Here is an 11,530-nt window from a genome sequence, read left to right as displayed (position 1 = left end):
TAAAAATATGTAATATCCTCCTATTTTGACAAACATATCTTCATGACTCCCTATAAGGCCAGGTTTACATTTAGAATTCTCAGACATGAAGTTTCTGGCTCAGGGAGAGCTGAGCCCCAAGCCCTGGCTCTTATGTTTCTCACCACACCAGGTTCCATTCAGCATCACAGGGACTTCACTTGCACATGTGTGGTCACCCCAGTCTGCATGTTCCACATCCCTGATGAATAGCTGCCCTTTAGACAACTTTTGGGCCCAGGCGTGTGCATATCAGTAACCAGGTCGACACTCAAAAGAACAGACCAGGAAAGAGGGTGACACAGGCCCTGGAAGCAGGCTCAGAGACATTTAGGCTGGGAATTTCAGAGAATCCAGAGTGTGTTCTGGAAAGAAGGGTGATGCAGGTTTCAGATGGGCATATCCTCTTGACTGTGTGAATTCTTCATCCCATGGCAATGACTGTGTGAATTCCTCACCCCATGGCAAGGGAGTGGCTGGAGACGGGCCAGAGTGGACGCAGTGCTTTGTGCATTCTCCCGTGGCTTTCTGCCTTTTCTCCATACTGGCCTTCTTTTAATTCCTTGAATGCTCCAGATGCTTACTGATAAGGGCCTTTGTACAAGTGGTTCCCCGCTTCAACAACCCATCTTCTTCAGATGTCAGCTAAAGCATTTTGTCTTTGAAGTTGCCTTTCTGATAATTCTCACATTAGTCAGGTGCCCCAATTATGTAGCTTCATAGAATCCTGTAGTTTTCATAGCACTTATAACAATTATTAATATAACAGAATAGTTACTATATACCTAGTATTTATAAAATTAGTCATTTATCTATAAGAAGTTATATAATTAACTGTTTAGTGTGTTTATCCTCTGCTGGAATGTAAATCTCTAAGAGGGCAAGGACTATGTCTTGTGAATCTTTGTCTTCCTAACACCTAACCTGGTACTTTACATATAATCGGCACTTAAATATATTTGTTAAATGAATGAAAGCATGACTTATGGGCACTCCTCCATTCTCAGGTTCTCCCTGACTTCTATCAGAAGGGAAATTCCTTTTAGGACTCACAATGTGTCTTGGTCTCAGTCTCTGGGAGCCACGTACAGATTCTTGGAGACTGATGCTGGTGGGAGTCCTCATGGACTTTGATCTGATGGTCCATTTCCAGTTCTAGATGTCTGATTATGGCATATATGCTTAGGAACCACTCGTTTAAAAGGATCATTGATTGCTTTAGCCCTAAGTTAAAAGAATCTTCTCAGACGTGAAAATTAGATGCAATTATTATTACTATTACTATTATTGAGACAGGGTCTCACTTTGTCACCCAGACTGTAGTACAGTGGCTCAATCACAGCTCACTGCAGCCTCAACTTCCTGGGCTCAGGTGATCCTCCCACCTCAACCTCCCAGGTAGCTGGGACTACAGGTGCATACCACCATGCCCAGCTAATTTTTTGTGGAGATGGAGTCTTGCCATGGTGCCCAGGCTGATCTCAAACTCCTAGGCTCAAGCGATCTGCCCACCTCAGACTCCCAAAGTGCTGAGATTACATGCATGAGCCATTGTGCACAACTTAGATGCAATTATTTATTATTATTATTATTATTTGAGACAGAGTCTCGCTCTGTCACTCAGGCTGGAGTGCAGTGGCGTGATCTCAGCTCACTGCAACCTCCGCCTCCTGGGTTCAAGCAATTCTCCTGCCTCAGCCTCGTAAGTGGGATTACAGGCTCCCACCACCATGCCCGGCTAATTTTTTTTTTTTTTTTTTAATAGAGGCGGGTTTCACCATGTTGGTCAGGCTGGTCTCGAACTCCTGACCTCGTGATCCGCCCGCCTTGGCCTCCCAAAGTGCTGGGATTACAGGCATGAGCCACCATGCCTGACTGATGCAAATATTTTTATACCTCTTTCATTATTTAAATATCAATATTAGTGTTTTTATGTCATCTATTTATGGTATGTTGTAATCAATTAGATGCAATTATTTTATAGCCTCAGAGGTAAAATATAAAAATGATATTTGCAATTCTATTCAGTTTCTAGAAATAAATATGTGAAAATATATAACATACTATTGTTTAACTTTAAAAACATTTTTTTCTCTGATTATTATTATTATTATTATTTTTGAAAGGGAGTCTCTCTCTGTGGCCTAAGCTGGAGTGCAATGGTGTGATCTTGGCTCACTGCAACCTCTGCCTCCTGGGTTCAAGTGATTCTCCTGCCTCAGCCTCCCAAGTAGCTTGGATTAGAGGTGCCCGCCACCACGCCCAGCTGATTTTTTATATTTTTAGTAAAGACGGGGTTTCTCCATGTTGGCCAGGCTGGTCTTGAACTCCTGACCTCGGATGATCCACTCACCTCGGGCTTCCAAAGTGCTGGGATTACAGACATGGGCCATTGCGCCCAGCCTAATATTATTAAGAGACAGGGTCTTGCTCTGTCACCCAGACTGGAGTGCAGTGGTGTGACCACAGCTCACTGCACCCTCTTACTCCTGAAAAATGTCCTACAGGTACATGCCACCACACCTGGCTAATTAAAAAAAAAAAATTGTAGAGATGGAGACTTTTCATGTTGCCTAGGCTGGTCTTGAACTTCTGGGCTCAAGCCATCCTGCTATCTCGGCCTCCCACAGTGCTAGCATTACAGGCATGAAGTCATAGTACCCAGCTTTTTTTTTTTCTGATTATCATAATATACGTTTATGATAGAAAAGTTGGAACATTCACAAAAATATAAAGAAGAGAATAAAAATCATCTATAATTCTAATACCTTCAGAAACCTAGTGTTAACATTTTTGTATAGTTTCTTCTGGTGTTTTTGTTATCCATATCATATAATTTAATTTTTTTTTCTTAAACAGAGTCTCACTGTGTTGCCCAGGCTGGAGTGCAGTGGTATGATCTCAGCTCACTGCAACTTCCACCTCCTGGGTTCAAGTGATTCTTATGCCTCAGCCTCCTGAGTAGCTGGGATTAGGGGTGTACACCATGCCCAGCTACTTTTTTTTTGTATTTTTAGTAGAGATGGGGTTTCACCATGTTGGCCAGGCTGGTCTCGAACTCCTGACCTCAAGTGATCCACCCGCCTCAGGCTCCCAAAGTGCTGGGATTACAGGTGTGAGACACTGTGCTTGGCCCGTATAATTTAATTTTTTAGAAAAAATAAAATCATATACATTTATATTTTTGTATCCTGCTTTGTTTTTTTGTAGATTGAGGGTATAAATTGGTACAATCTCAGCCAGGCACTGTGGCTCACGCCTGTAATCCCAGCACTTTGGGAGGCCGAGGCGAGTGGATCACAAGGTCAGGAGTTTGAGACCAGCCTGGCCAATATGGTCAAACCCAGTCTCTACTAAAAATACAAAATTAGCTGGGTGTGGTGGCGGGTGCCTGTAGTCCCAGCTACTCGGGAGGCTGAGGCAGGAGAATTGTTTGAACCCAGGAGGTGGAGGTTGCAGTGAGCCGAGATTGAGCCACTGCACTCCAGCAGGGGCAACAGAGTGAGACTCCGTCTCAAAACTAAATAAATAAATAAATAAATAAATAGGTACTGTCTCTTTGAAAGGCAATTGAAAATATTGATACAAATTTTAAATTGATACAAATTAAAAAACTCTTTGACCCAGAGATTCCATTTATTCTCCATGTGTACACCCATATGCATGAAAAGGTGGAGGTATAAGAATATTTTAGGCCGGGCGCGCTGGCTCATGCCTGTAATCCCAGCACTCCGGGAGGCCGAGGCTGGTGGATCACAAGGTCAGGAAATTGATACCATCTTGGCTACCACAGTGAAACCCTGTCTCTACTAAAAATACAAAAAAGAAGAAAATTAGCTGGGCATGGTGGCACGTGCCTGTAGTCCCAGCTACTCGGGAGGCTGAGGCAGGAGAATTGCTTGAATCCTGGAGGCAGAGGTTGCAGTGAGCCGAGATTGTGCCACTGCACTCCAGCCTGGGCGACAGAGTGAGACTCCATCTCAAACAAACAAACAAAAACAGAAAGAAAAGAAAAGAAATAAAGTTGTAATATGTATTTTTGTATAATTTCAATTCTATTAATTTATTTAATTCCAGGCTGGGCACGGTATCTCACACCTATAATCCTCGCACTTCGGGAGACTGAGGCGGTTGGATCACCTGAGGTCAGGAGTTCGAGACCAGGCTGGCCAACCTGGTGAGACCCCCCCCCCCATCTCTACTAAAAATACAAAAAATTGGATGGGCGTGGTGGTGTGTGCCTGTAGTCCCAGCTACTCAGGAGGCTGAGGCAGGAGAACTGCTTGAACCTAGGAGGTGGAGGTTGCAGTGAGCAGAGATTGCACCACTGCACTTCATCCTGGGCAACAGAGCAAGACTCTATCTTACAAAAAATTATTTGATTCTATTTTAGTTATTTTTTCAGGATAATTTCCTTAAAGTAGGATTACTGGGAATTAAGGATCTTCATATATGGTAAAATTATTTTCCAGAATATTTATACCAATTTACTATCCCAGTTGTTAAAGAGATTATCTACTCACTATAAGGTTTATTTTCCAAAATGAAAATCTCTTTGCTGCACTTTTTGAATATAAAAATAACTCATGTGGCTGGGCACAGTGGCTCACTTTGGGAGGTCGAGCCAGGCAGATCACACGTTCAAGAGATCGAGACCATCCTGGTGAACACGGTGAAACCCTGTCTCTACTAAAAATACAAAAAATTAGCTGGGCATGGTGGCACGTACCAGTAGTCCCAGCTACTCAGGAGGCTGAAGCAGAAGAATCGCTTGAACCCGGGAGGTGGAGGTTGCAGTGAGCCGAGATAGCACCACTGCACTCCAGCCTAGGCAACAGAGAGAGACTCTGTTAAAAAAAAAAAAAAAAAGCTAAATATGTAAGTTCCGAAAACACAGGAAATTTAGGTCTGGTGAGGTGACTCACACCTCAATCCCAGCATTTTTGGGAGGCTGAGGTGGGTGAATTACTTGAGCCCAGGAGTTTGACATCAGTCTGGGTAGCATGGCAAAACCCCATCTCTACCAAAAATAGAAGAATTAGCTTGGCATGGTGGTGCACACCTGTGGTCCCAGCTACTTGGGAGGCTGCAGTGGGAGGATCGCTTGAGCCTGGGAGGCAGAAGCTTCAGTGAGCTGAGATGGTGCCATTGCACTCTAACCTGGGTGACGGAGTGAGACCATGTCTGAAAAGCAAAACAGGAAATTTGTAGAAAGGAAAATAAAAAGGCTGGGTGTGGTGGCTCACACCTGTAATCCAAGCACTTTGGGAGGCCGAGGTGGGTAGATCATTTGAGGTCAGGAGTTTGAGGCCAGCCTGGTCAACATGGTGAAACCTTGCCTCTACTAAAAATACAAAAATTAGCCAGGTGTGGTGGCGGGCACCTGTAATCCCAGCTATTTGGGAGGCTGAGGCAGGAGAATCACTTGAACCCAGGAGGTGAAGTTTGCAGTGAGCCGAGATGGCAGCACTGCACTTCAGCCTGAGAGACAGAGCAAGACTCCATCTAAAAAAAAAGAAAGGAAAATAAAAAGCATTATCCACAGATACTCATTGTTGTTTTGTTTTGTTTTTTGAAACGGTTTGAATTCATCACCCAGGCTGGAGTGCAGTAACACGATCATGGCTCACTGAAACCTAGACCTTCTGGGCTCAGGTAATCCTCCCAACTCAGCCTTCCAGATAGGTAGATGAGATCACAGGCTACAGGAGCACCCTAGCATGCCCAGCTAATTTCTCGTATTTTTTGTAGAGACGGGGTTTTGCTATGTTGCCCAGGCTGGTCTTGAACTCCTGGGCTCAAGCAATCTATCCGCGTTGGCCTCCCAAAGTGCTGGGATTACAGGAGTGAGCCACCTCACCCAGCAGATACTCACTGTTAACACTAAACTATGTATCCAAACTTTTTCCTAGTTTATATTAACCTGATTTTGTTGAATTTAATGTACTTTGGGTTTCTTTCTAAGCCAACAGGTAATATGGAAGTGTTGTATCTTTTTAATAGATACATAGTAATCTATTATAAGGATATAAAATGGATATCTTGGGTTGGGTCCTGGGGAAGGCAGATTCTGAGATGAAGTGCTCCTGGTATCAACATCTGTGGAAAAGAGGGGAAGGAAACAGAATTGAACAGACAGAGAAGTTATATTGGATTTTAAACCCAATGGTAGCCTCAGCTGACCTCACAGGAAGTTCTGCAACTGAAATGATCCCTCAGAGTTATCCCAAATTGGAGATGGTCAGGATTTTTTTTTTTTTTTTTTTTTGGAGACAGTCTTGCTCTGCCACAGAGGTTGGGGTGCAGTGGTGTGATCTTGGCTCACTGCAACCTCTGCCTCGCCAGTTCAAGCAATTCTTGTGCCTCAGCCTCCTGAGTAGCCGGGATAACAGATGTGCACCACCACACCCAGCTAATTTTTGTGTTTTTAGTAGAGACAGGGTTTTGTCATGTTGGCCAGGCTGGTCTCAAACTCCTGGCCTCATGTAATCTGCCTGCCTTGGCCTCCAAAAGTGCTGGGATTACAGGCATGAGCCCCTGCACCCCGTCTGCACCCTGTCAGTCAGGCCTTTTTACCCTGGCATTGATCACTGGATATGAGTCATCTTGGGAAGGGACCTGTCTCTCTGTAGCTAAGGCAATCCCTGAAGGAGCCAATAGCATTCCCAGAAGTTGAGGTAATCCTTCATTGAAGGAGGATCTGAGCAGCATATCACAGTGTCCACCATAGTCTTGTTCTGTTCAGATCTACATCTTCATATATGTTCTAGGAGCAGCAATACCAGCATTAGGATGGGCCTCTCTTTTTCTGTGGGACATTTAGAAAAGTAAGATTAATGGAGCAAACCATAGCTCTTATTACTGCCACTAGTCTCAGGGCTGCGACTGATACTTATTGTCTCCCTTGTCCTCTATCCAGTTTAGAGTCCTCTTACCTCAGCTATTACCTCAGTGGCTTACCTGGTGGCATGACCCAGACCCTCATCTTTGAAGGGTTTCCCCTAGTTTTTATTCCTTTCTCAAGCCGAGGTTGCTGTATTTGTCTATTTATGGTCAAAATTGGGAAAAATCATACACCAGGAGGTACACAGTTAGATTACCTAAATGCCAAACATTCATGCTTCTGCTATCTAACCTTTCCCTGATGCCAGAATGGTGACTCTTCTTTTTGCCTGCTATCCCTGGACACAAAGAACACAAAGGGCCCAGGTTGATAGCCATAGCTTGGAACTCAGTGGGAGTCTTGCTATATTCTCTGGTAAAATTGCACTCCTTCTGGGGACCTGTACCTCCAACTTTGTAGAGCTCAGACTTGGGAGACAATTCTTCTGCCTTATTAGCCTCCCAAAGAGCTGGGATTACGATTGTAGGTGTGAGTCACTGAGCCTAGCCAGAATGGGTGATTTTTTAATAAATGAAAATTTATTTCTTACAGTTCTAGAAGTTGGAAAGTCCAAGAGCAAGAGGCTGGCATATGGCAAGGCCTTCTTGCTCCTCATTCCATGGTGAAAGGTGGAAGTGCGAGAGAGAGAGTAAAAAGGGTCCAAATTCTTCCTTTCATAACAAACCCACTACCAAGATAACAGCATTAATTCACTCACTCTGCCCTCATGGCCTAATCACTTCCCATTAGGCTTCACCTCCCAACACTATTGCATTGGGGATTAAGTTTTCAACATATACTTTTTGGGGGACACATTCAAACCATAGCAGAGTGGCACTAATTTCTGCCATTCCTCCAACAGTACTGTTTTTTGTTTTGTTTTGTTTTGTTTTGTTTTTTTGAGACAGAGTCTTGCTCTGTCTCCCAGGCTGGAGTGCAGTGGTGTAATCTTGGCTCACTGCAACCTCCGCCTCCTGGGTTCAAGCGATTCTCCTGCCTCAGCCTCCCAAGTAGCTGGGAATACAGGCACCTGCCACAAAGCCTGGCTAATTTTTGTATTTTTAGTAGAGACGGGGTTTTGCCATGTTGGCCAGGCTGGTCTCGAACTCCTGGCCTCAAGTGATCCGCCTGGCTCGGCCTCCCAAAGTGCTGGGATTATATGTGTGAGCCATGGTGCCCAGCCTACAGTACTATTTTTGATTTATATCATTATAATTGTTATTTCATAGGCCAAGGACCCAATGAGGGAGTTGTGCCAACTATGAAGTATATCTACTCTGATTATGTATTTGGGAAATGGGGAAATTACCAACATATAGGTCTGTAGAAGAGTAGATCCAATGTGATCTGGACCTTGTTTCTTAGTGAATTCAGACTACTATAACAAAATACCCAAAACCGGGTAGCTTATAAGTGATGAACATTTAAATCTTACAGTTCTGGAGGCTGGAAAGTTCAAGACAAGTTGCCAGCAGATTTCAGTGTCTGGTAAGGGCCTGTTCTTCATACATAGCACCTTCTCCCTGTGTCCTCATATGGAGGAAGGGGTAAGGCAGCTTCCTCAGGCTTCTTCTTTTTTTTTTTTTTTTTTTTCTGTTTTTTGAGACAGAGTTTTGCTCTTGTTGTCCAGGCTATAGTGCAATGGCGCAGTCTCGGCTCACCGCAACCTCCAACTCCTGGGTTCAAGTGATTCTCCTGCCTCAGCCTCCTGAGTAGCTGGGATTACAGGCACGTGCCACCATGTCTGGCTAATTTTTGTATTTTTAGTAGAGATGGGGTTTTGCCTTGTTGGCCAGGCTGGTCTGGAACTCCTGACCTCATGTGATCTGCCCACCTCGGCCTCCCAAAGTGCTGGGATTACAGGCTCTAGCCACCATGCCCAGCCCTCAGGCTTCTTTATAAGAGTACTTATCCCATTCATGACAGCTCTGCCCTCAAGATCTATCATTTCCCAAGGGACCCGCTCTTAATATTATCACATTGGGAATTAGGTTTCAACATATTAATTTTGGGTGAACTTAAACATTCAGACCATGGCATCTTGGGTAGGACTTCATTTATTACCTGACCCCCACATGTACCTACCCTAATAGGGGGACCATAAATGATTCTTTGGGTCTCTATGTATCAACGTTAATTCAGAGTCTGGAACCAATAGTCTTTGAAATGTTTTGGTACTACTACCATTTTCCCAGTGCATGATTATTTGAGTAAAGCCATAGGTCCAACAGTTCTGGAACAACCATTGGGGAAGGACGGAGAAAATCATTCCTGTGTACTTTCACCATGGTGTTACAGGTTATTTTTTCCTGGGGACCTAATCTCTCCTTGAGTTAATGGATTTCATGTCTAAAGCATGAGTTCATGTTTGGAAACTTGTCAAGGAATTATATTTCAATTGGGGTTACTGATTCAGTCTCCTGGTCATAAATTTTTAAAAAACAAACTGAATACCCTTATTGGTTGCCCACCTATTTTTTTCCCTAAGGACACCACATTAATTATCTCCATAATAATCCTCTGAGGGCCACCTCCCCCGACTGTCTCTCTGATCTTATAATAACTGTCCAATTAGACATTTATTTATTTATTATTTTTTGAGATGGAGTCTTGCTCTGTCGCGCAGGCTGGAGTGCAGTGGCGGGATCTCAGCTAACTGCAACCTCTGCCTCCCAGGTTCAAGCGAGTCTCCTGCCTCAGCCTCCTGAGTAGCTGGGACTACAGGCATGTGCAACCACGCCCAGCTAATTTTTTGTATTTTTAGTAGAGATGGGGTTTCACTGTGGTAGCCAAGATGGTCTCGATTTCCTGACTTCATGATCTGCCTGCCTCAGCCTCCCAAAGTGCTGGGATTACAGGCATGAGCCACTGCACCCAACCTATTATTATTTTTTAGATGGAGTCACTCTGTCACTCAGGCTGGAGTGCAATGGCACGATCTTGGCTCACTGCAACCTCCGCCTCCTCAGTTCAAGAGATTCTCCTGTCTCAGCCTCCCAAGTAGCTGAGACTACAGGTATGCTCCACCACACCCAGCTGATTTTTGTATTTTTAGTAGGACGGTGTTTCAGCAAGTTGGCCAGGCTGGTCTCGAACTCCTGGCCTCAAGTGATCTGGCGACCTTGGCCTCCTAAAGTGTTGGGATTACAGGCATGAGCCACCGAACCCAGCTAATTTTTTTTTTTTTTTTTTTTTTTTGAGACGGAGTCTTGCTTTGTCACCGAGGCTGAAGTGCAGTGGCATGATCTCGGCTCACTGCAACCTCCACTTCCCAGGTTCAAGGGATTCTCCTGCCTCAGCCTCCCGAGTAGCTGGGATTACAGGTGCCCACCACCACACCCAGCTAATTTTTGTATTTTTTTTTTTTTTAGTAGAGACAGGGTTTCACATATTGGTCAGGCTGGTCTTGAACTCCTGACCTCAGGTGATCTGCCTGTCTCGGCCTCCTAAAGTTCTGGGATTACAGGGATAAGCCACCACGCCTGGCCTACTTATTTATGCATTTTTTTGGAGACAGGGTCTCACTCTGTTGCCCAGGATAGAGTGCAGTGGTGCAGGCATGGCTCACTGCATCCTTGACTTCCTGGACTCAAGCAACCCTCCTGCCTCAGCCTCCTGCCTCAGCTGGGACCACAGATGTGTGCCACCATGCCTGGCTAATTTTTTTTTTGTAGAGACAAGGTCTCCATGTTTCCCAGACTGGTCTCAAACTCATGGTCTCAGGTGATCCTCCCACCTCAGCCTCCCAAAGTGCTGAGATTACAGGTATGAGCCACTGCACCCAGACAACACTTGTTGTCTTGATAGAGAGAGGTCTCTGCACCATCTCTGAGCAATGGTGCAGAGAGGGTGGGCCACTTTTAGGAACGTCCTCATCTAATGTGTCAAGCCCCATTCTTTCCCAACTAGGGCCCTGACCTTAACTTGATTTACCTGTGTTGACTGGAAAGTGAATCTTCTTTGGAGCTTAGCTACTCTAAGTTTATTCTTTAGCTTATTCTGTACCCCCACTGCTGGAGAGGAGAGCCACTTTGTGAGCTATTAAGCAGACTCTCTAATTTTCACTTGGTGATTAATCATTCTCAATGAAGAAATTGGTGATTAATCATTTTCAACTTTTCATTATCTTTTTTCTAGTGCATCAATCGGTTAAACAATAGTCTTAGTCTGTTTTAGTCAGCTTGGACTATTATAACAAAATACCACACATCAGGAGGTTTAAACAACAGAACTTTATTTATCACAGTTTTTGGGGGCTAGGAAGTCCAACTTCAAAGTGCCAGCTGACTTGATTCCTAGTGAGGGCTCTCTTCCTGTCTTAAAGATAGCTGCTTTCTTGCTTTGTCCTTACATGGTCTTTCCTTGGTGCATGTGTGCAGAGATAGGGAAAGAGAGAGAGAGATCTCTCTTTCTTTTCTTAAAAGACCATTAGTCCTATCAGAGTAGAACCCCATCGGTGCATGCGTGCAGAAACAGAGAAAGAGAGAGATTTCTCTTCCTCTTCTTAAAAGACCACTAGTACTATCAGAGTAGAACCCCACCCATATGACCTAATTTAACCTTAATTATCTCTTAAAAGTCCTATCTCCAAATATAATCACATTGGGGACTAGGGTTTCAATACAGATA

The sequence above is a fragment of the Homo sapiens genome, chromosome 3, assembly GCF_000001405.40.
Source record: "Homo sapiens chromosome 3, GRCh38.p14 Primary Assembly".
Classification (NCBI taxonomy): Eukaryota; Metazoa; Chordata; class Mammalia; order Primates; family Hominidae; genus Homo; species Homo sapiens.
Note: the sequence above shows the minus strand (reverse complement) of the source record.